The following is a 26,473-nucleotide window of genomic DNA, read 5'->3' as shown; positions in this document are numbered from 1 at the left end:
AATTAAATTTGAGCTAATCATAGAATCTGATGCAGGTATAAGAAATGATACAGAGAGATTCATTTCAATGATAAGATTTTGAGAAAAGTTCCTGTTCTGTCACAACCACAATATTAACATTTATATAACATTAATATACAGCCTTTATATAAAATGTATACAATCTTATTCAGATTTTTTCTTGTACTCAGGTGAGTGTTTAGAAGATTTTTGATCAGAGTGGTTATATTGTCAGTTTCAGAGTGAGAATTGTAATGGTATAGATTTAATATGCCTCAGAAAAATGCTTGGCTTTTGGATGGAAACATTAATATGTCATTAGAAAATTGCATATATTCACGCCTGTAATCCCAGCACTTTGGGAGGCCCAGGTGGGTGGATCACCTGAGGTCGGGAGTTTGAGACCAGCCTGACCAACATGGAGAAAACCTGTCTCTACTAAATATACAAAATTAGCTGGGCGTGGTGGCACATGCCTGTAATCCCAGCTACTCGGAAGGCTGAGGCAGGATAATTACTTAAACCTGGGAGGCGGAGGTTGCAGTGAGCCGAGATCGCACCATTACACTCCAGCCTGGGCAACGAGAGTGAAACTCCGTCTCGAAAGAAAATTGCATATGTTTTTTTCCCCTTGACTTTATTTTCCCTCCTTATGTGTGTTGGATTCAGTGCAACCATTGAAAACATCCTGTTATCCACAGAAATGTATCTTAAACTTACCATTAAATCACCTGTTGTTTCAAGTGCAACATATAGGCATCTTGTACTTTTGATACGTTTTATTTTTGTCTGGATAGCAATGTGATCAGATCTGAATTGCACAGAGTCAATTACCAAGTACTCCCAATGCAGCTGGGTCTTCTTGGAGTATAGTGATTGACCTAGCCCTTAAACTATGTTTGTGGTGCTCATTGCACTTATCTGTAAAATGTAATATTTCAGTTTATCACTAAGCATCTTCCAACCATAGTATCCTGTATTTATTGCTTATATAGAAAAAAAATTTAATAACAAGGTGATAAGATTCATTTTTATATCCTTCTCTCTGAGTCATTTGTTGCTTTTCAAAGCTTATTTCTTGCCCTGCCTTCCACAAATTTCTTCCAAAGATTCTAGGAAATAAATGAAGTATGGATAAATACCTTTATGAAAAGGAGTAACACATATCTGAAGGTTGGTTTTGCAATCGTGATGACAGGTTTGTATCCCCACAGCATGTGATAATAACTTGGTTCTTCCCATGGTTAGATGTCTCTTTAGGAAATGTATGATTGCCCTGAAGATGGGAGAGAGACAGTTTTCATTTTGCATGAAGAGTAATTTTGCTGTTTGTATCATAAGTTCTAAAAGCACACATGTAACTGCATATTATATTTAGATTCGATTAAATACCTTGATGATTTATGCCTGTCTTCTTGGCAGAGTTTTATTCATTGCCTTAAGTGGTTAAATAGTTGAAAAACGACTTGAAGAATGAAGGAAGAGAGACATTGGGCAAGTTGATGAGAAGAAAGGGTGGGATATTTAACAGTTAAAAATGTATATGTCTGCCCTTTGGTATTTGCTCTAATTCATAATTAGATCACCATTTCTTCCACTTATTTAAAAGGCACCTTACCTAGAGAGAGACATCAATATTTACAGTGCATTAGTGCCATGGAGAATTTCAGATCTTGTGATGAAGGTTTATTGCTGTTTTATCCCCTCTTCAAAGCAGTGTACACATCAAACAGTCTCCACCCTCATTCTGGACCCAGTGACATCGCACCAGTCGCTCTGTGCTTCATGCAGCAGCTTAATTATTGAAGATCCTTGTCTTTGAATTTTCTTTTTAATATTTCAGAGGATATACTTTGAAAATCTATATATTAAATAAATCAGAAGATTATGGGATTAGAAAGTTTTATCATATTTTAAAATGCATCAGTTTTGCTAAAATTTGAGATAAGGAGTGGCCATAATGTGACCAAATTACCTTAAATGAGAAGCTCCTATTATTTCTAATTACTGTAATGAACACAAATTACATCAGATTATTAATAATGCTGAAATAGGCCATGGGCCCCAGAAACGTAGCAAATCATAGGTGAGAAGATCATGTTTTATTCATCCGAGGCCAAAGCAAAATTACCTTCTTTATGCAATGTTATATTAGTCAGGACAGTTAGAGGTGGGGAACCTTTTAGGTGAACTTTTAGATGAATCAGGCAGTTGTGTTTCATGATTCATTTTGTTGATAAGGCCACATATTTATATGAATGTCTTTCCTTAAAATAAGGTGAAACTCGTGAAAAGATCTCATGCCATTTGTGACTACTACTGCACCATTCTCTAGAACTCTGTGTTGCTTGTCGTACTTTGACCTGTTGGGAGTTACCCTGAGCATGGCTGCTGAGACTGCTTTGCAGTGCTTTTATGTTTTTTTCTAGTACATTTTTCATAAATTATTATTCTCTCAGGATGAGGTTTGGTGGATGATCACTGGTTGGGGGTATATGAACATATGTGTACTCGCACCTTTTTGGTATTAAAGGGAACTTCTAAACCCAGCAATGCAGCCTCTGAATTTATAAATTAGGGATGGAGGCCCAGAGAGGTGACTGATGTGCCAGTATCACAGGTCTAGGCCAGTGGTTCTTAGCGTGTGGTCTCTGGGCCCTAAGGGATCACTAAGATCATTTCAGGAAGGCCATAAGTGCAGTACTGTTTTCAGAGTATTATGAAACGCGATTTTGTGTTGTTCACCGAGTTGACATCTACATCAGTGGTGCCCAGGACCTGAGGGGCAAAAATGTAGAGATCACTTGGCACAAATCAAGACGGTGGCACCAAATGTATTCTTTACCCCACACACTCGCAGTGTTTTTAAAAGCCATTTTCACCCACTGTTTTTGATGAAGAAACAAAATTAATTACTTAAAATCTGACACTTTAATATACAATTTAACATTTTGTGTGATGATGTCGGCATAAAACACTTCTCCAACATATGGAAGCTCAGTGGTTCCTTTTTAAATTTTAATTTTATTTTATTTTTGTTGAGGTAAGGTCTCACTGTGTTGCCCAGCTTGGCCTTGAACTCCTGGGCTCAAGTGATCCTTCTGCTTCAGCCTCCTTCAGTAGCTAGTGTTACATTCGTGAGCCACCACGCCCAGCTTCTCAGTGGTTGTCTTGAGAAATACTTTTATGCGAAGGCTTGATTTACATGGTGAGGTTTTCTCATAGAACAGCGTTTTCATTTGAAATACGGACAGAAAAACTGGTTATTCAGACCTGAGTGTCTGGCAGAGAGTTTATTAAAAATGAGTGACACAAGCCTGTCACTGTAAGGCAAAAAATGGGCAATATTTGTTGCTAAAGATAAAATTCAAACTTTCTAGGTAAAATTAGGTTTTGGAAAACTTATGTCCCACTGTGAGCATGACTGCTTCCCAGTACATAAAGATATTTCTGATTAAATTGGCAGAGATATTAACATGTGATTTTCTGAAATAAAGAAATGTATCAACATTTGGAAGATTGGCATAACTCAGTAACTAATATTTTCCAAATGACTAATGTTATGGAATTTCTCGTGGGTAGAAGTTTAATTCAAAATGTGAGACAAATAGATTTTAATGTAACAAAGAAAGAAAACTTCACATTCACATTGTAGCTGACCTTTGAGAAACCACCACTGGTCGAGTTATGGTGTGGTATCACAGAAGAAAATCTAAAATTTTCTGGAAAAGCTATTAAGATATTATTCCCTCTTCCAGCTACATATTTGTGAAGTTCTGTTTTTCCTTTATATACTTTTTCATATGGCAGCTGAGAATGCAGAAGCAGATATGAGAATCCAGATGTCTTCTATTAAGCAAAATGTTAAACATTGCTGCTCTTTCCACTAAATGTGCTTTGTTTTATAAAATACAATTTTCATAAAATTGAGTTGTGTTAACATGTGATGAGTTTTATTATTATTAAAGTGAATTAATACATATTTTAAAGTTGTTCTCATTTTCACTCCTAAAATGGTAAATATCACTAGCTCTACCCTCCCATAAACAAAAACTCTTTGAGGTCATCAATTTTTAGAGTGTGAAAGGGCCCTGAGATCAGAGTTTGGGAATCACTGAATCTAGTTTGTTTCCTTGCAGGCATGCTTTCCTATTTTATATGTAGTACTTCCTCCATTTAATGATAGATTTTTTTCCTTTTCCTATCTTAACATTTCTGAAATTTGGATGTCTCTTACAATATATGTTTATGGCTAATGTAACGTTTCTTCCTCTTCCCAAAATGAAATCGTTCTATGAATTAAAATCAGGATATGATTTCTCAGTGCATAATTCTACTAGGAAAACAACAAAATTCTTCTCTTTTAAAAAACAAACCAACATTTGTATCCACAGGTAGCTAGGAATGGAACTTAATAGATTTGATTTCATAATTTGTGATTTGTGATTGAGCACTGGCTCAGGAGCCTGAAGTCTTGGCTGGAAAACTGACTTTTCATGTCATCTCTCTGAGCCTCAGCTTACTCATCTGTGACGTGGGTCGCATGTTTTTCCATGTGTCTAATGTAGTGCCTTATTTAAATAAAAAAATTTCAGATCCCTCCGTTTAAGTGGTGGGTTCTAGTACACTGTTACTAAACTTTGTGCACGCGTGTGTATGTGTGTGTGAAAACTCCATAAAAATGCCTTATAATTTTCATGCAATCATAAATCCAAGAAGAAATCATAAACCAATACACATCCAGATGTGTAACAGAGATCCATCAGATAGAAGCACATCATTGTGAGAGATGAAGAAGTCTTGCTGAGTCTAAATTGTAGGCTGTATGAACCTATACCTGCCCCGGGGTCTATTTATTTGGACCTGGGTTATGCTGCCTTTATGTACTGTGATGACTCAGGTCTTACAGCACTTCCAACCATAAGAAAACCTTGATTTCAACATCATTATGATGTCATTTGGCCATCCTTTGATGAGAAAATGCTGTTGAGTGACTGACTGACAGGGCCTTGCTCTGTTGCCCAGGCTGGAGTGCAGTAGTATAATCACGGCTCACTGCAGCCTTGAACTCCTGGGCTCAAGTGATCTTCCCACCTAAGGCTCCTGAGTAGCTGGGACTGATGCAGGACATGTGAGCCCCACAGTGGGGCTTAGCCCATAAAGGTCCTTGTGTTTGCCCAGGAAAGAATTCAAGGGCAAGCTGGGGCTAGAAGAAAACAGCTTTGTTGAAGCAACAGTGTCGCAGCTCTGTGACTGCTTCTGCAGAGCAGGGGTGCTCTATGGGCAGAGAGTAGCAGCCCAGGGCAGTTTTGCAATCATATTTATACTCACTTTTAATTACATGCAGATTAAGGGGAAGTTTATACAGAAATTTTTAGGAAAGGAGTAGTAACTGGGACATTAGGTTATTACCACGGAAACAGTAGGTAACACCTAGGTGTTGCCATGGCAGTAGTAAACTGACATGACAGCTGGTGAGTGTGTTTGATGGAAAACTGCTTCTGTCCCAGCCCTGTTTTAGCCAGTCCTCAGTTTGGTCTGGTGTCCAAGCCCTGCCTCTGCAGTCAAGTCCTGCCTCCTACACTAGGACTACAGGAAAGTGCTACCACAGTTGTCTATTTTTTTTTTTTTTATTTTTTGTAGAGACAGGATCTCACTGTGTTGCCCAAGTTGGTCTTGAACTCCTGACCTCAAGCAATTCTCCCACTTTGGCCTCCCAAGGTGCTGGGATTATAGGTGTGAGCCATTGCACCTGGCCTCGTTGACTTGTTTTATTGGGTTTTGTTCTTTCTCATCAGCGTGGTAATCAAATCTAGGACTCCTTCCTGAATTTGACAGTGGACATAAATGTAAACGTGGCACCTGAAATTGCGTGGGAGTACTCAGTGACGAGGTAGTGCAAATAGAAGATCCAGACTGTATTTATTTTAATTTATTTTATAAATATTGCTGAAATGCAAACAAAAAGTTTAATGTTGGAAGAACTAACAAGAAGGGCTGCATGATAGAGCATTCGCTGTAGCAGCCTTCACATTGCAGTTTATGCAAACACCACCCTATCCATGAGCTCCATCACCCACCATAAGAGACATCCCGCAGGGCCTGGAGCTCCCTCTGTTATCTTCCTCTTCTCAAATCCCCTTTCCCCCAGTCCATATTTTATTTCGAGAGCTACAGGTATATAGAGATAAATGCTAATTATTTTTGTCTGTCTGTTGCAGACTAACACATTAACACAATGTTTGTGTCTAATCTTAAGAAGATGGTCTTAATTATTTAATCAAAATCATGTATGCAATGTATTCTCCTGAGGAAAATTTCAAACACAAGTAGGGCAAGCAGTTTTATTGTGTCCAAGCTAATTCAGTCCTTGAATTTATTGGGGGGTTAGAATATACTTTTCTTTGATTATTTTACTATAGATATTGGGTACTGCTTTTGGTCCTATGTTTGTGCTATTTTTTAAAGGCCTCCTCTTCTGAGTTAATAGTGCCTCTTGTAGACTTACATACAGATGGGTGACAGAAGAGGGAGAGAAATGGAGGTGTACAGAGGTACCTAACAACTGAATAACTAACCCTGTAATTGGACAGCAACAGAATCTGTGTCTAAGTAATAACATTGTCTAAAAGTTTTTAGAGTTTTCCTGCCCACCTCTCCCCATTTTGTTGCTTTTTTCCTTACAGTTTTTAATTTGATGATTCTGGAAATTTTGCTTCCTCTTGGTAGAGAACTTTCCTTATAGTAAGGGCATTGTAATATTAATGCATATCAATTTTTAGATGTGTATTTTTGCGACCTTGTTCTAAGAGTGACTATATAGTTCTTATTGGTGTTTATTTTTATTTTGGGGGGTGTAAATTAATAAGCAGCAAAGGTTGTCATGAATGTTTACAGACACTAAAATCCAGAAATTATTAAAATCCTCATGTTTATGTTTCTCTCAGCACATTAAGATAGCCACCAAAGTATTAAATTTGGAGTTGACTAAATTTTTGCCCTAGTAACGTTGCTCAGACTGTGTTGTTATTATTGAATCCTCATGATGTAGAAGTCCATGTTAAATTTGTTATTACTATGTTTCATATGCTTCTGTTTGCTCTGATAAGTTCTAATTTGCTTTCACATTGGAGACTATTGGATTGACAGTGGTTTAAATACAGCTTTCACTGTATATAAATAGCCTGTTTGGTATCCTCAAGGTTTCCATATCTTTACCATTGACCAGTGCACCAGTGTTTCAAAAATATCCCTCCTAGAACAAATGATGAGTTTACTGCTTCATGGTTAAAGCTATGTCATTAGACCGGACGTGGTGGCTCACGCCTGTAATCCCAGCACTTTTTGGGGCCGAGGCGGGTGGATAACCTGAGGTCAGGAGTTCAAGACCAGCCTGGCTAACATGGTGAAACCCCGTCTCTACTAAAAACACAAAAACTAGCTTATCATGGTGGTGCACACTTGTAGTAGCCTGTAGCTACTCGGGAGGCTGAGGCAGGTGAATCACTTGAACCCAGGAGGCGGAGTTTGCTGTGAGCCGAGATTGTGCCACTGCATTCCAGCCTGGGTGACAGAGCCAGACTCTGTCTCAACCAGTCAATCAGTCAGTAAAACTGTATTGTTAGAGGCTTTAAAACAAATACTTACATCCTAGTTTTTAAAAACAGAGTATTCTAAACATAATTTAAATTTTGTCTTATGTTTTTGAGTGATTTCACTCAGTTGCTGAGTGGAACTTTTAGTTCTGATTGCAGCTATTGCAGACTCTTTTCTTCTTCACTTTGCATTTTTAATTCTGTTTCTTCTCTGCTGTGACAGTGATCCTATTTGCCAGGCTGTTCTCATTGTTACTGATAATGATACAAATGTTCACCTGAGTGTATTATTGATACTGTTATAGCAATTGCAAGCAAGCTCTTCTATGCAAATACATTTGCTAAAATACTACCTTTCGTGTAATTGTATATGTGAGTATATGACAGAAACTACCTGCAGATTAACATATTACTTTGAGTATTTTCTGTCTTAAGTATAAATAATATATTTGGGCACTACACTTTCTGACAATACTTTATTGAACAAAAGAAACATTTTATTCAACAAAATTTTTCAGTAGAGCAGCCAAATGTCTAGATTCTATAGATTTTTAAAAATTGATACATAATTTTATGTATTTACGGAGAATATGTGATGTTTTGATACATGCATACCATGTGTTATGGTCAAATCTAGGTAATTAGGATATTCACACCTCAATTATTTATCTTTTTTTGTATTGGAAACATTTCAAATCCTCTCTTCTAGCTACTTTGAAATATACAATAAATTATTTGTTAACTATATAGATTCTGTGTTTTTATTACAGTAGATATGATTAAAAGGTAGGTGAAATTTGTTTACTTGCTTAGATTCATTATTTTTTAAATGATATATGTGATGATTATTTAGAAATATTGGGGTAATGATCACAGTAATGGTTATTATATTACTCTCTACTGAGTACACACTATATGTCTAGCACTGTTTAACCCCTTTATATTATTTAGTCCTTACATTACCCTGATGAAAGAGGTACTGTTTTATTTTCATTTGAGTTGGAAAGGACTAGAGGCAGAGAACAGTTAGGCAACCTGGCCAGGGCCACATAGATAACAAGGAGTGAAGTCCAAGTACAAACCTGGGCCATTTTGCTCGGAGCCGACACTTGACCGCATCTCTTTCACCGTGTAGTATTTTAAAGGACCTAAAGGAATTTGTGTTTAGAATACTGACCCACTTGTCCCCTTTTACAAAAGTGTAATTCTGTTCCTTAATCTTTAGGATTTCCCTACGTTCTCCTAACATGTAGTTTACCAACATTAGTATCTTATTTTTCAGCATAGTGCTTTTGTGTTTACAGATATGCCTCTTCATGTTCGACGCAGTAGTGACCCAGCTCTAATTGGCCTCTCCACTTCTGTCAGTGATAGTAATTTTTCCTCTGAAGAGCCTTCAAGGAAAAATCCCACACGCTGGTCAACAACAGCTGGCTTCCTCAAGCAGAACACTGCTGGGAGTCCTAAAACCTGCGACAGGAAGGTAACCACCTCTGCTTGTTTGCTGCTGTCTCTTGCCCCTCCTGACTTCTTGGTGTCCGTGATGAGTGTCGTGTCTTGGGTAAACCATTGGATTCCAGGGCATCTTCATGATGGCCTTTTGTGAGCGTGGTACCAACTTTCATATCAAAGTTCAGATAGTCTCCTATTTTATATCACACTTGGATTTTCTGATGAAAATCAGTGCCGTGTATGGTGTGCACTTATTAATATATCCATTTTTTGAATAGATTCCATTTCATATCGTTAAAAATGAAAACATTCAACACATTATGTGCCATATAAAGTCCCTTTCTTGCTGTGTCTCCTGGTCTCCTCTCCCATTTCTCCTCACAGGCAACCTCTTTATTTGCTTTTTCTATGTTCTTACAGGGATATTTGACACATTTATAAGCAAATATTTATATTGGTTCATGAGGTACATTAAGGAACTTAGAACATTATGAACTTTTAAGGATGAAAGTGGACTTCATGGTAATTTAGTTTGATTACACAGTTGATCGTTTTATCCTAAGTCTCCTTGTAAATGGAAGTGTGTTGTCTAGTCTTCATAATACTTTCTTCCCTGACCTAATTTATTTTAGTCCTTGACCTAATTTATTTAATCTGAATAAAGAAACTTTATTTTAGCTTGTTTTGTCTGTTTTAAAAAATTTGTTGGCTGGGCGTGGTGGCTCCCACCTATAATCTCAGCACTTTGGGAGTCCAAGGCAGGTGGAACTCCTGGCCAGGAGGTCAAGGCCCGCCTGGCCAACATAGCAAAACCCCATCTCCACTAAAAATACAAAAATTAGCCAGGTGTGCTGGCATGCACCTGTAATTCTAACTACTCAGGATGCTGAGGCACAATAATCGCTTGAACCCAGGAGGCGGAGGTTGCAGTGAGCCGAGATCACGCCGCTGCACTCTAGCCTGGGCGACAGAGTGAGACTCCATCTCAACAACTAAAAAAATGTTGATGCTCTTTGTCAGAACCCTTATTGTTCCTTTTTGTCACGCTTCTCACCTCTTATTTAATGTGCTTTTTGCTGAATCTGTCATTTTCACTTTTGAATCTGTAGATGCTCAATAAACTTCTGTTGAAAGAATTAATAAACATTTTTTCAGTGCAGCCAGTAAGTTAGCACAGTATATATTGAGAAATGTCAAAATAATACTAATCACATAAGATGAAAAAGATGTAGCTTGATATTTGCTTGATTTATTCTTTGCATAGGTATAAAAATACCTGTTTTAAATATTTCTTTCAACTTTGGTTTGCATTTCAGCACACTCCTCTCTGTAGTAATTCTAGTGACAAAAAAAGTACATGGAAAACATAGGTTTAAACTGAGAAGAATCTAGTTGAAAAAAAGAGTATATTTAGTTTCTGGTTTTTTTTTGAATTATGAACTTAACTGTTAGGCTTAGTCTCCTGAAATACTTTGTTTTTATAGATGTGTTGAGGAGCCATATTGGAAGATCTTCTCATTAAGATTAGCTTGTAAGTTTTGAGGACTTTATCTTGCAGTAGACTATCCAAAGAAGCAGAATCCAGTTTATCAGTGGGTCTCATGGCAGTTAATCTTTTTTTAGAACAGACCTAATTTAATTTACATGGATATTCACAAATGTGTAAACAAGTCAAGCTGGCAGTTTAAAAAAATTTTTTTAACTTGGTTTTCAACTGTTTGAAACATACGGAAGTTTCTTTTCAAGTCATTCAACATCTTGGATGTGTGAGTCCGTTTCAGTTGCAGCAAACAGAACGTGTTTTTATCATAAAACATTTTTGAACAAAAGGAATTTATCACTTAGAATGTTTTTCTCACAAAATCACTGGAAGGGTTTGCAGAGCAGGTCCTAGGTGGTCCTGGAGAACCTTTAAAACTATGCAGTAACAAACATGTGGCTTGCCTGTGGAGCTACCCTCTCTGCTTTCGTGGTGAAGGAGGTGCTGCAGTCCAGGGGCCTGAACTCCTCCCACCGGAGCCTGCCTACTACACACTATACACCACCCTGCCTCCAGGTGTACTCAACTTGCTTCTGTCACTTGTGAAGCTGGAGACCCACCCTAGAAATGCTGCCAGTCATCACAGCCCAGGAAAATTCTGTTTCAAACCACTATTAAAATCTCATGCTACTGAATCTGAGTAGGTGGAGTTCAGTTTGTATCTAGACCCTTCTCTGCAGAAGAGCCTGGGAAGTAGAACATTAGCCTTAAAACCTCTGCAGCACAGGAACACGTTAGGAGAGCACTGAGACTCTCACTGCCAATTAACCACATCCACCTAGCTGACGCAGTTTCATTTTTAAATATTTATTTATTTATTTATTTATTTAGAGATGGGGTCTTGCTTTGTCACCCAGGCTGGAGTGCAGTGGTGCAATCTCAGCTCACTACAACTTCTACCTCCCAGGTTCAAGCATTCTCCTGCCTCAGCCTCCCAAGTAGCTGGGTCTACTGGCACTAGCCATCACACCTGGCTGGTTGTTTAATTTTTTTAGAAACGGGGTCTTGCTGTGTTGCCCAGGCCAGTCTCAAACTTTTGGACTTGGGTGTTCCTCCCATCTCAGCGTCCCAAAGGCTGGAATTACAGACATGAGCCACCATGCCCAGCCTGTTGTTTTAAATGACATGCTACTATCATTGTAGAAAATTTGGCGAACTTATAGAACAAAATAAAATTATTCATAACTCCAGAACCCAGCAACAACCAGTATTTACACACACACACACACACACACACACACACACAAGTTGGAGTCATGCTATGTTCATATATTTGCATCCTGATTATTTCAACATTATTTTTCGTACAATAGGGATTTTCCCTGGTGTGAATTTTATTATCAATATTTTAATGAGTGTAAAACATTTCATTGTAGATTGTATTCTGTTTTCTCTCAATTTTGGACATCCATGCTCTTTCTCTTTTTTTCACATTTTAAGTATCAGTGTTGTGAGACATCCTTAAATATAATATTTATCTTAAAAATTGTTAAATATTCAGCAATCTTTTTACTTCCATGGAGCAGTATTTAATGTAACCAGATGCCCATACTTTCCCATAGGAAAAGCCTTGATCTACATACATATTTTTAGATGAAGTGATATTCGCATATGATATACTTAAATAGTAATGTGTAATGAATTAGTATTTTGAATTTTCGTTGGCTTTACTCTTCAAATACTAATCTTGCTGTCTGCGTTTTATGCTGTTTGTATTTTAGTCTGAGAGCTCATATATAAATATGATTAGATGGCATTTTATTTTCAGTTATAAAAAGCCTCCTCATCTTTTCAATATTCAGAAGGAAGGAAAGCATACTTGCTGCTTAGGTACAAAGCATTCAATTTATTTATTTCTGTTAAGCCCAGGAGAGCTTACCTATGGTCTCATGCTTTAAGATGTTATAAATTCTTATGAGTCTGTAGTGGTTCAGGTTTTCTGTATAAAATTGTAGAAATAAATTAGTTGTGCATTCATAGCCCTCTGATTTAGTGATCTCTAGTGGTTAAAATAAGTTAACATTCTTAAATAACTCATCTACATAGTTAAGTGGTTTATATTCTTCCAAGTTAAATGAGCAGAGTAAATTATTTTAGAATAATGTTACCAATCAATTAAAATCTTGTTTCTAAGCAGGAAAGTTGTATTCTGATATGTTAGAGCACCATCATGTCAAACTCTCTCCTTTGGTTCAAAATCACAAACGAGAGGTGGAGTCTTCCTTGTTGAAATAGTGGTCATAATCTCATTCCACTATTAGCTTAGTGGGCAGAGTGTACAGATGATGATGATACTCAGTTGCTTGAGGGCCTGAAGAGGCCGAGGGTCCCATAGGCTTCTGAATTTCTTAAAATATTTCATGTTTTCATTTGGAAGTGAGATGGAGAGGGTAAGGGAGTTGTGGCTTTTTTCAAAGTTATTTGAAATACTCACCTTTGTGTCCAGTATTTTGTGGCTGACTACCTTTTCCAACTGTTTTAGGGAACATTTTGCTCATACTTTGTGTGGAAAGTTTCTTGCTAGAGGCTGTATTTTCATTTGAGAGTTAACATGTGGTTAATATTTTATCCTGAGGAAGAGTATTTCAATCGGTGTGAATACTTAAATCATCTTGCCACCTCTTTGGTCTTCCTTATTAAGTCAGTGTTGCTGTGAATAAAGAGGCCAGCTAGTCTGTGGAGAGCATGTGATTTATCCCATCAAGAAAGATGTAATGAGCTCTTAGAAGAATCTGCTTTCCATGCAGTGCCGGGGATAAGGACTGTGGACTATTTCACTGTGCAGTTGCTACAAGCCATTGTTCCTTCCCTCTAAATAATGAGTGGCATTGTTTTTGTAAATGATATTTCCCCCTAAACAATTAACATAGGTAGACTTAGTATAAAAACCAGGTCCGGACAAGTTTCCAAAAGAGATTCTCACCTGATTAGGGAAAGGGGAAGAAAGTAATAAAGGGAACCTATTGCATTGGCATCATTAGCTTCCTTTTCTTTTGATTTTTTAAATGGAGACCTTGCAATGTTTCTTACCCCTTGGGTTTATTATTTCTGTTTGGTTTAGTTGCTTAGCATGTTTGCTATCTTTCCAATACCCCCGATACACACAACCACTTGTAAGAGATGCTTTCTTAGTTATGTCTTTGTCATCTCGCTTTTCTTTCTATTAGAAGGGTGAGATGTTTTGTCTAAGTTTAGGAAATTATTTTTATAAACATTTTTGAAGTATTTTTCAAGGTTCCCCAACCCCCTTTTTTTTCCCTGATAGTAATACAGCTTGCTCTTTGCATATGTACGGTAATGAAGGGTATATAGAAGCAGGGAAATGCCATCAGGCTTCTGTGTCCATGGGTTCTGCATCCACGGATTCAACCAAGATTAGATTGAAAATATTTGGAACAACAACAAAAAAACAATGGTTGTGTCTGTACTGAACACGTAGAAACTTTTCTTTGTCCTAATTTCCTATATAATGCAGAATAACAACTATTTACACAAAGCATTTTCTTTGTAATAGGTCATATAAGTCATCTAGAGATCATTTAAACTATATGGGAGGATGTGCATGGGTTATGTGCAGTAGTCCACCATTTTATGTAAGAGACTTCAGCATCTATGGATTTTGGTATCTGCAAGGGGTTCTGGAACCAGTCCCCCATGGATACTGAGGGATGATTGTAATTTGAAATTTTGAAGATGAGTAGTAATGACATTTTGATGTATTAACTTCAGGACTTCTGTGGAGCATGGCTCTATACAGATGTTGGCTATTCTTATTACCAGGGGGAACCATCCAAGTATAGTTTAATTTCCTGCAATGTTTCCAATTTCTGCTGTATTGAGAGAATTTTCCTATGCCTCATAAATATGGATAGTTTACATAATGTTATATTATGTGTTGAGTTCTTATAGTTAATGTTTAACTTTATTTGATGGTTTTTTCTGTTGTATGACATTTATATTTTTGCCAATTTTGTTTGCTTTTATAAGTAACCTTTAGAAGTACCCTTCAGAGAATGTCCTTATTTATCAATTTATGTTGGCATCTCTGATTATTTTCTTTGACTAGATTCCTCCAGTAGACTTATTTGGTAAGGAGATGAACATTTTTAAAGCTATTAGTAATTGTTTCACATAAATTCTAGGCTAATAAAGTATGAAGTAGTTAGGATGTATAAAATGCTCTGAGAAGTCCTAGATAAATAGGATAGGAGTGAGGCTTGAGGGTGGTGGTGAAGGAAACAAGCAGCTGGTACTATTCCTGAGTTCCAGAACTTACTGTCTTACTAGATAGCTTAAAGGTTCTACATGGGTGTGCATCAGAATTACCTGTAGACTTCCAAGAGCTGAAACACAGGCATTACTCACACCAACAGATTCCTTTACCCACTCCAGAAAATTTGTGTGCTTCCTTAAAGCTCTTCTGTGGTTTTCAGGGCTCGGTCTTTTTTTTTTTTTTCCCGCAGGACCTCGGGTCTAGCTGAAAACAAAGTATGGTTACATTTTAAGGGAGAGCAAATAGGAATATAGTCATGCCTTGCTTAATGACAGAGATACATCCTGAGAATTGCATTGTTAGGCGATTTCATCCTTGTGTGAACATCATAGAGTGCACTTACACAAACCTAGATGGTGTAGCCTACAACACACCTAGGTTACATGGTATATCCTGTTCTTCTAGGCTGGAAACCTATATAGCATGTAGCTATACTGAATACACAGCTGGGACACAATGCATTCATATTTAGATATTTGTGTATCCAACATATCTAAACATAGAAGAAGTATAGTAAAAATACAGGATTTTAATCTTATGTGATCACCATTATATATGTGGTCCATTGACGTTGTTATGGGGTGCATGACTGTATAATGTTTTTTTTGAGATATCTTTTGTTTAAGCGAATGCAGACTAGAATCTAGTACATTTGCTGTATTTGGGTTTGTGACATTTCACTTCCTCTCATACTTAGATTGCACAAATTTATCATTTTCAAATGAAAAATTAATTTTGAGTCTTTTAAAAGTCCTACAACTCATTTAATATTGGATGTTGACTATCAATACAAAAATATAACTGAAAATATCTTTCTAGATAGAAGCCTTAATGAAAACAATGTTTCTGTCTACTGTTTCTGTGTGTTCCTTCATTCCTTTCAAAACCCCTTTGTTTCTTTTCCTTCCCTTCCTTTTCCCCTTCCCCTCCCCTCCCCTCCCCTCCCCTTCCCCTTCCCCTTCCCATTCCCATTCCTTTCCCTTTCCCCTTCCCTTTCCCCTCCCCTTTCTTGTTCTGTTCCCCTTCCTCTTCCCCCTTCCCCTTCCTCTTCCCTTTCCCTTCCTTTCCCCTTCCCCTTCCCCTTTTCTTTCCCTTCCCCTTTCCTTCCCCTTCTCTTTCCTTTCCCTTTTCCTTCCTCCCCTTCCCCTTTCCCTTCCCCTTCTCTTTCCCTTTTCCTTTCCTTTTCTTCCCCTTCACTTTCCCATTCCTTTCCTCTTCCCTTCCCTTTCCCTCCCCTTCCCCTCCCCCTTCCCTTTCCTCCCCTTCCCCTCCTCGTTCCCTTTCCTACCCTTCCCCTCCCCATTCTCTTTCCTCCCCTTCCCCTTCCCTGCTTCTCCCTTCCCCCCTTCTCTTCCCTCTCCCCTTCCCTCCCATTCCCTCCCCTCTCCCCTCCTCTCCCCCTTTCTCCTCCCTTTCCCTTCCCCTTCTCTTTCCTCTTCCCTTTCCGTTTTCCTTTTCCTTTTCTTTTGCCACTGTCTGGCTCTGCTTTATTGCCCAGGCTGGAGTTCAGTGCATGGCTTACTGCAGTTTCAACTTTATGGGTTCAAGTGATCCTCCCATCTCAGCCCATGAAGTAGCTTGGACTACAAGCATGGGCCACCCCACCCAGCTATTTTTTTTTTAAGAGATGGGGTCTCACTATGTTGCCCAGGCTGATCTTGAACTCCTGGGCTCAAGTGATCCTCCCATCTTGGCCTCCCAATGTGTTTGGATTACAGGCCTGAGCCACTGCGCCTGCACCAGTTTGACTTCTTGATTTCTGCTTCTCCTCATTCATTCTTTCTAATTTACAAGGCCAACTGTCATATTAGTAAATTTGAAAACACTATTTTATTTCTAAATTACGTTTTTAAAAGTTTATTTTATTTTTTTCCCTTTATGTTCTGTTGGATTTGAAGAAGATTATTTTAAACCACAAAATACACTTGACCAGTTGGCTGCTGAGAAGAAGTTGTTTATCGTTTGGTTATTTGTGAGCCAAGCATAGCTTCCAGCATTATGGTAACCATCCAAAAGCTTAAAGGATGAGCTGAGATAGTTCTTTAGAATCACATGTCCTCTGTGACAGACCTGTAGCTCTCTTTAATTTTCTGCGGCATTAGTTTCAAGGGAGATCCAGCTGAGAACAGACTTTAAACTATTCTGCTGCAACATTTTGTATTTCCTGTTAGAGGTCTCTATAACTATAAATTTTACCCTTCTATTTTGCATATTAAAATATCTTATTTGAATGCAGCACATTTTCGAACTTTCAGTCAGTATGGTTATAATCATTTCTACAATAGGCTGGGCTCACTGAGTTATTGATAACCTAGTCTCATCTTTTTCTATGCTACATTAGGAATACAGTCTGCCTTCATATGCTTTAAATATTTTGTGTTCAAAGTGATAAAATCCTAAGGTGTTATTGATAAAATTTTGGAGCTTGGATGCGATATTTTTAGAGTTCACAAACCACTGCAGGAGTATAAATCCTGAATAAAGTCAGAAGCCTTCTTGTGTGCCCTTAAAGTTACATACATCACAGAGGGAAATGAATATGTTATACCTGATTGTCTTGACTTAGGGGAGAGAACCAGGAAGTATCATTGATTAAATTATATAGAACAAAATTTTGCGTAGTCTATATACATTGAAAAAATATTTTAATCTCATTTGATCTCATTTCATCTTTTTATTTATTTATTTATTTTTCTTGAGATGGAGTCTCACTCTGTCGCCCAGGCTGGAATGCAGTGGTGTGATCTCAGCTCACTGCAACCTCTGCCTCCTGGGTTCAAGCGAAACTCCTGCCTCAGCCCCCCCAGTAGCTGGGATTACAGGCGCCCACTACCACACCCGGCTAATTTTTTGTATTTTTAGTAGAGCCAGGGTTTCACCGTGTTGGCCAGGCTGGTCTCGAACTCCTGACTTCAGGTGATCCACCCGCCTCGGCCTCCCAAAGTGCTGGGATTACAGGCATCAGCCACCATGCCTGGCTTCATCTTTTTAAGCTAGTTTCTATTTTTAATTTTTTATAATTCAGCTTATAAGCCTACCTGTTTTGAGTTGTGAAGTTAGATCTAGTCCCTTCAGGTCCTGTTATTAACAAGAAGAGTATCAGATGGATTGCTGCAACTGGAGCACCTGTTTGCATTCTAAGGACTTTAAACATCCTTTCTTTTAATTTTGCATATATTCCTGCTCCTGTTATGATCTGGGCTGCCTTTGGAGAAATGTGTTCCAGTCAGTGTTTCTCGAAATTTGGTAGTAGAAGTGGTTTCCATCTATTTTACCTATAAGCCAAATCTGTTTTCTTGGTTTTAATATTTTCACTAATGATAACAAAGTTGTTTTTGAATACTTGCTATTCCTAGGCATTATGCCATGCTTGGTATGTTACATGTTATATATCATTTAATTATACCTATACCAGAAGTGTAGGTACTGTTGCTGTACCCATTTTATTTTTATTTTTATTTTTATTTTTTTGAGACGAGTCTGGCTGTGTCGCCCAGGCCGGAGTGCAGTGGTGTGATCTTGGCTCACTGCAAGCTCTGCCTCCCAGGTTCATGCCATTCTCCTGCCTCAGCCTCCCGAGTAGCTGGGACTACAGGTGCCTGCCACCACACCCGGCTAATTTTTTGTATTTTTAGTAGAGACGGGGTTTCACCGTGTTAGTCAGGATGGTCTCGATCTCCTGACCTCGTTATCCACCCGCCTCGGCCTCCCAAAGTGCTGGGATTACAGGTGTGAGCCCCCGCGCCCGGCCTTGTACCTATTTTATTGGTGAGCAAGTAGAGCCCTGGAGAGTTTAAATAGCTCACCTAATAGTTCAACCAGCTGTTAAATGTTACACCTAATAGTTCAACCAGCTGTTAAATGATAAAGTTGTGATATAAATGTGCTGAATTCTCTTGGCTGGGTACTTGCACTTTTGTATTTAATTTTTATTGGGGCATCTTGTTGCAATATCTGTTTTATTTCGACTTTAGTTAGATTGTGTTTTTTTGGGGGGAAGGGGAGAGTAAGGTTTCAATAGACGTTACTCAAATTCCCTGAATCACATTTTCTAAAATTGTAGTTTTTAGCCATGAATGGAGGACAGAAATAGTTTCCTTGAATATTAATATCCTTTTTAGAGAACATGCTTTTTCTGCTAATGGGGTGGTAGAGAGGAACTCAGTTCTTTAGAAGTTTGTGCCATCCATTTCTTTACTCTAAATGCTTCCCATGTGGCAATGTAATTCTCCACAAAAGTCATTACTTATGAGAAACAATATGTAGGATAAGATTATGATAAATGAAAATAAGCACTTTCTACATTAAGATAAAAAGTATCTGTGGAGACAGTGTACCTGAGGAGGCACTTTCACAATTAAGGGGAAAGCTAAGGTAGACTGTACCTAGGGACTTTCACAGAAATTACCCAATTCTTCTACGCATCCATCCAGTCCATTGGAGTTTGGATTGTGGGCTGAAAAATGGAAGAAAGTGGTAATTATCTTACATTGTCAGACTAGTTATATGTGATTTAAATCTCTTCATTTTCAAATTGTAGTAATTTATTTAAATATATATGTATATATACATTCGTTTTTAAATTCAGACGAAAAATATTTAGATAAATATAAAATATTTATGATGCACATCTAAATAATGTATAAGACTGTAGGTATTTTGGAATTAGGCAACCACTATAAGTATTTTACTATCTCTCCCTTTCTGTCTAGCATCTGTTCCCTTCTTTTTGTATTGTGCATAGTATTCTTGATGCAAAATGCTATTGTTACTTATAATTTTAGTTTTGGAGCATACATATTTAGAGTGGAGCATTTTTGAAAGAAAATGAGGGCCGGGTGTGGTGGCTCACGCCTGTAATCCCAGCACTTTGGGAGGCCGAGGCGGGCGGATCACGAGGTCAGGAGGTTGAGACCATCCTGGCTAACACGGTGAAACCCCGCCTCTACTAAAAATACAAAAAAAAAAATTAGCTGGGCATGGTGGTGGGCGCCTGTAGTCCCAGCTGTGCTGGAGGCTGAGGCTGGAGGATGGCGTGAACCCGGGATGCGGTGCTTGCAGTGAGCCGAGATCACGCCACTGCACTCCAGCCTGGGCCACAGAGCGAGACTCCGTCTCAAAAAAAAAAGAAAGAAAATGAAATGTTGTTGCGTATTTCTTGCCTTCAAAGTTAAGCACTTTCTAAAATGTTTTTAAATTGTTTCAGTATAAATTTGTTTTTCAGAGTTAAGCAGCTTTTAGTCAAATGTTGCTCCTCATGTTTAGTGTAGTGTAAGAAAGTGAGTCAAGATCTTCAAGATTTAATTGAACCCGAAATATTTATTTATTTATTCTTTCACACACTCACCCTTCTTGTTTTAAGGAGTATAGGTCAAAAATGGTGGTCCCGTGTTCTCCATTCCTGCCCACTGCTGATAGTGGAATGCTGGTGGCTCTAGGGGAATTCAGGGGCCATGTTGGCCCTTATGAAATACTGTGCAGGAAAGCAAGTGGAGGCTGTGGTTCATGCGGCTTTCCTTTAGGCTCTGTCCTTCAGTTCCTCAGAGTCTAAGAGTGGACAACATTTTTGTAATTTTTTATAAACGTTAAACTTCCCTCATCTATTTCCTCCTCACCTCTTTCTGCATGTTTTCCCAGGATAAAGAAGATAATCTAAGTTATACCTGGAAAGAGATTTTCTCTTGTTTTGAGAGAGGATCTCTCTCTGTTGCCCAGACTGGATTGCAGTGGTCCAGCTGTTGCTCACTACAGTCTCAAGCTCCTGGAATTAATCAGATCTTTGTTTTGTAAAATAATTTGAGGCTGGGCACAGTGGCTCACACCTGTAATCTCAGCACTTTGGGAGGCCAAGATGGGAGGATTTCTCGAGGCCAGGAGCTTGAGACCAGCCTGAGCAACATAGTAAGACTCAGTCTCTACAAAAAATTAAAAAATTAGCCATGTGTGGTGATGTGTGCCTATAGTCTCAGCTATTCGGAAGGCTGAGGTGGGAGGATCACTTGAGCTGGGGAGGTTGAGGCTTCAGTGAGCTATGATTGTGCTTCTGCACTCCAGCCTGGGTGACAGAGTGAGACCCTGTCTCCCCAAAAAATAAATAAAAAATTAAAACAAAATTAAAAAATTATTTTAAGAATGAAATGAGACAATTTTAAAGCCAACATTTTACGTATGATTATTCGTAACACTGTATAGTATTTCTTAGTGAACCAACCATCTCTATGAAAATATAATTTGTGATCAAATATATCATCATTTTGAATTCAAGAACTACCTTCCCATGTGATGGGATGCTTGTGTAGCAGTGACTAGATATCAGAAATTTTTGTCATTAGCCACCTAAACTATGGTTCCATGTTAGATTAAGAATGAGAAGTTGGAAATTTTATTACTCAGGATTGAGTAGAGGCTAGGCTGGTGGTGCATACCTATAATTCCATACTTTGGGAGGCTTAGGCAGGAGGATCTTTTGAACCCAGGAGTTTAAGACCAGCCTCGGCAATATAGTGAGACTTTGTCTCTCCAAAAAGTTAAAAAATTAGCTGAGTGTGTTGGCTTGCACCCGTAGTCTTAGGTACTTGGGAGTCTGAGATGGGAGGATCGCTTGAGCCCGGGAGGTGGAGGTTGCAGTGAGCCAAGATTGTGCCATTGCTCTCCAACCTGGATGACAGAGTGAGACCCTGTCTCAAAAAAAGAAAAAGGAAATTGAGTGAGTAGAATTTGGGCATTGAGGTGGGTAGGTGTAACCATGAGAATGGGTTGTCATCCTCATCTCCACAATTTATTTGTTATCACTTCTCCAGATCCCTGTTTCTTCTTTCAGTCAGTAAGAGGTTAACCTAGCTGTTGTCTAGCTTCTTCCTTCCAGCTTTAAAATGCTGTATCCAAAATTTTTCATGGCTTCCTTCTCTGTCAAAGTGGATTAGGAACAGCTGAGAAAATTGGTTCAAACGAGCATCCTGGATGTGGTTGAGTTTTGCTGGTCTTTCTCTTCTCCTTGGATTCCCTGGTTGGCTCTCTGGACAGATCCAGTGGCTTCAGAGAAATCCGCGCCCGTTTTAGTTTGATCAGACCTGCATCTCCAGGAGAGATTTTTGACCAATCCTTTTTCATATTGGATCCCTTTATGTTCATAGCCTGATACAGATCCATACTCCTGTGATTATTTTTCTTGTTTGATAAGACCGTTAACAAGATACTGGCCAGTTACAGGTTATGACTTAAAACTAAAATGTCATGCTTCTGATTTTGTCAGTGTATCAACTTGAAGGGTTTGCTGCCATGACAGGAATTGTATTTGGAAACTTAGTTGTAATTTTCAAATTCTTTCTAATATAGAAATTCTTCTATATTAGAATTCCACTGTGAAAATTTTTTGGCATATTCAGAATTCTTGAGTTCCTCACCAAATTAAATGAATTTTATTATCTAGAAGATACTGAGTATGTATCAGAATGACTAGAAAAGATATTATCAAATGTGAAGAATGATATAGTTCATTTTTCAGGTCAGAATGAGTTTTAAGAACTATGGATAATACCTTTAACATTTCAAAGGAAAAATCCTAGTAAAAATTTGATATATATGTTAGGATATTTTATTTTGTATATTGTTAATTTGTTGGATAGTTAATTTGCTTGGAAAAATTATTTTCAAATTTTTTTACTTACTCCTGTTCAAAACTTTAACTCAGTTGAAAAAGAAAATTGGCCAGGCACGGTGGCTCACGCCTGTAATCCTAGCACTTTGGGAGGCCGAGGTGAGCGGATCGCCTGAGGTCAGGAGTTCAAGACCAGTCTGCCGAACATGGTGAAACCCTGTCTCTACTAAAAATACAAAAAATTAGCCAGGCATGATGGTGGGTGCCTGTAATCCCAGCTACTCGGGAGGCTGAGGCAGGAGAATCGTTTGAACCAGGGAGACGGAGGTTGTGGTGAGCCGAGATTGAGCCACTGCACTCCAGCCTGGGCCACAAGAGCAAAACTTCGTCTCAGAAAAAAAAGAAAATTGACATTTAAAAATGAAATATTACTTAAGTAATTTGAGCTAAAGAGGTGCTGCAATACGTCTTTTGGCATTCAAAATCTCTGGATTCTGACCAGTGTTTCTGGTTGCAGACTCCACCATAGTTTAGCAAACTATTAATTATCACTAATGATCCCGATGTGGTTGTTTTGACAAAAATGTATGGATGTTTGAGTTTCCTCTTTGTCTTGCCATAGTTCTGTTATAAAAACTTTATAAACACATACTCTTTCATTTGTCTTTTCCATACCTCTCATTAATAGTTATTAAGAATGTGGGGGAAACCTGTTAGCAAAAAGGAAAAGTAAGATGTATACATGTACCAGTGCTGATTATGTGCTGGATACTGGCTTAGGAATTACAGATAATATAGGAACAGATTACTTGGCCTCAGTTCTACAACATTAGGCATTACACATAGGAAGTTGGTTTGCATGGATTTCAAATATTGCTTTTTAGTTGGTTCATTATACTTAGGAATAGACATGCACCTAGGGTAAATGATAATGAATACTGTGTTTGGAATAAAATTCTGGGTTTCCTTATTTAAAAAAAAGTCTTAATAGGCATTTAGTTTATTATTCCAATAGGAACTGCCAAAATTTTCTGCCTTCATTTACAAGTTGGTGATTAAGCCTGCGTTTTGTGTGTGTGAGTCATTTTATTTCACCCTTATCTGTCTCTTTTTTCTGTTTTTATTTATTTTTTAGAAGATGAATAAATAAATTGTTGCCGAGGCTCCAGCCTCGGCAACAGAGCGAGACTGTCTCAAAAAAAATCATTCTAAGCCATCATTATTAATTTTACTTCAGTCTCCTAATTTCAGATTAGATATCCTGAAAATAGTTCCCTTTGTTTTTTGTGTATCATTTCCTGGAGAAATAATTAAGCAGAACATTGAATTCTCTTTTACCATAATTGCAGAGCTGAAAAATGTGGGAAATGTAAAATCTTAACATCACACGGGAATATTTGAAACCATATGATGCATAGAGGTTCTGAATGAAATGTATATGCATTGAGTATTTTGTATTTCAAAATATGCTATGATTTCTCATAATTCTTAAAAAAAATGAGATTTTTGCACTGAAACGAGGTGGAAACATAGTTGGGTTTCCTGTGCCAACACAGAAATGTTTATGACTTCTATAATGCTTATGAAACCCCAGTTCTGACTTCTGCAACAGAGGGATATAGTCTTGCCAAGAAATCTGACCATCAGCTAAATAGCTGTTTCTGGGAGATAAAGCTTGGAGTTGCAGCTTAGTATGCCGGGAATGAGCCTCTATCTCAAGGCATTGGGTGGGCTCTATATAGTTTTCCTGAATTGTAATAAGCTTGGGGAGGGCTAAGGTGGGAGAAGACACTTACTTTCCTTACCCTGAAAGAGATTTTCTCCATAGCCAGGATACCGCTACCAGGGAGCAGCAAATTAATATGCATTTCCCAGCCGGAGTGGCTTTTTGACACCTGATGCTGTGGCAGTACATTTAGATGATAAGGAAGATCCCTGATCACAGCAGGAACATCTGTTTTTCCCTGGCAAGAAGGAAAATTTCCCACCTCGCACAAAGCTGAGCAGCTATTTGGGGCAGCCTCATAAGTGGAGGATTAAAGTTATAATTTAAAAACGGGAGAGTAATTTCTTATGGCATTTTTTTTTGTATAATCTTTTAAATAAAGTCATAACTCTAACAAATTAATTTATGCCATTAGTAAGTTTTATAATCATTAGAATTATGTATATTTGATTTAAAATTTTTGATTTATAGTTATAATTTGATTCATAAGTGAGCATATATAGTCTTGAATAGATTGGTTACGAGTGCCATATTTTAACAATTATTTATGCTAAAGCAAATATTTTCAAATTGAAAATAGAGTGCATGATGTATATTTCAGTGGACAGTGGTATCTAGTATAAATTGTGTTGTAGAAAATATTTAATACATTGTATGCTGCGATGTTTATGGATATCTTTCCATCATAAATACAGATACACAGCTTTACAGGCCTACAGTCCTTGTATGCACTTGATACACATTGTATGCAGTAGACGGTGAACTAGATTTGTGGCCAGACTTCAGGACTGGGAGGAAGAAACATGACTGAAACGCTAGTAGGACCTGCATGATGCTGTCAAAAATATAACAAATATGTTGATAGGAATTAATAATGTATTTTAAAAATTCTTCAACTGATTGATAATAATTCAAGATTGCTGTAAATAACTGCACTTTTCATACATTATACATAAGTCAATATATGGATTCATCATTGATTTTACATGAATTAGGAAAATTCCTTTGTTATGAGAGTGAACGTTAGTTTTAGTTTTATTATCCATGAACTCAAAGTTGATTCCACAAATATAAAATTGTAAAATTCTTCAAGTGCAGTGGAAAAGTGCAGACCTTGCCATCTTCAGCCATTCTTTCTCTTAGTCTGATTATTGTATGTTGCTGTGCTGCAGGTACTGCATGTCATAATTGACTTACATGGAGAAACAGTGTACTGTTTTTTCTATGCATTTGGAAATAATCACATTTGCCACAGACATCATATGCTGTAGGTGTGACAGGAAGTTGAAATAGGCATATAACAGTGGTATACATCTTTTAGTATAAATCTAAAAATACAGTGATTACATTTCACTGAAAATACATTTTACTAAAGTTTATCTTAATGCCTCTTTGAAGCATTCCCTAAACAATTTTTAAAACAACTTATCAAAATGTTCTTTTAAAATTCCAGGATTTTGAAACCATGTGAAATAGGGAACATAAAAAATATTCATGAAAAAGTCATCCACATTGGTGTAAGCCACTGTGCTGAGTGCTTGGGTTTAAAGGTGAATGATGATCTGCCCAGGCTTCCCTGTAAGATTAGAAATAGCAATTTTTAAAATTAGCTAAATTATAAGTTAGAACCATAGTTAAAGTAAAATTAGAACAGAGTGGTAACAAAAAGCATGGCATGATTAGTTCTATTGAGAATCAGGGAATGCTTCTTAGAAAATAGCGTTTGAACTGGGCTTTGAAGAATGTTCAGTATTTCTATAGAAGAAATGATGTTGGAAGTACAGGTCTCAAAAAAAGCAAGAATGAAGGTGAAGAAGTTTGTGTGGTACAGTAAGCACCATTGTCTGAAATTCCCTCTGGTCTACCTATAGTGTTTGCTGGAGGTTTGATGTGATCCAACATATGTTTTAGGAAACTCCTGTGCCAGAAAGTGGTGCAGAACATTGTTAGAGAGGATATGGCCAGAGCCTGTGTCCAGTTAGAAGGCCACTGTTAAAATTTCAGGTAAGAGACAAGTTGATCCTGAACTAGGTTTATGGCCGAGGACCAAAATCAGCAAAAATGTTGTATCAATAAGACTTAGAAGCTGTGGAGATCAAAGAGGGAGGAAAGAGAGTAAAGCTAATTCTAAATGTTTTAGGGAATGGTGCCTGAGTCAAAATAGGGAGCTCAGTTTCGAGGTATCTTTGGGACCTCTTGTTGGAAACTGAGATCATGAATTCAGGAAACAGTTTCGTTTTCGTGACTTGTGCTTAAAAGTTGTCAGGGTAGGACGTGGTGAAATTGTGCA

The 26,473-nt window shown here is 37.8% G+C and overlaps 1 protein-coding gene across 11 annotated transcripts in view; it reads left to right on the top strand.

Annotated features, from left to right (window-relative positions):
* PARD3 (par-3 family cell polarity regulator) overlaps nt 1-26,473 on the top strand; it is a 705,736-nt gene that overhangs the window by 336,134 nt on the left and 343,129 nt on the right. For all 11 annotated transcript variants that reach the window (NM_001184790.2, NM_001184791.2, NM_001184789.2 and 8 more), the window contains exon 4: nt 8,900-9,078. In NM_001184790.2, coding sequence (NP_001171719.1) covers nt 8,900-9,078 — 179 coding nt within the window. The remainder of the gene's footprint in view (nt 1-8,899; nt 9,079-26,473) is intronic.

The sequence above is a fragment of the Homo sapiens genome, chromosome 10 (genome assembly GCF_000001405.40).
Source record: "Homo sapiens chromosome 10, GRCh38.p14 Primary Assembly".
Lineage (NCBI taxonomy): Eukaryota > Metazoa > Chordata > Mammalia > Primates > Hominidae > Homo > Homo sapiens.
This window is presented reverse-complemented; position numbering and strand designations above follow the sequence as displayed.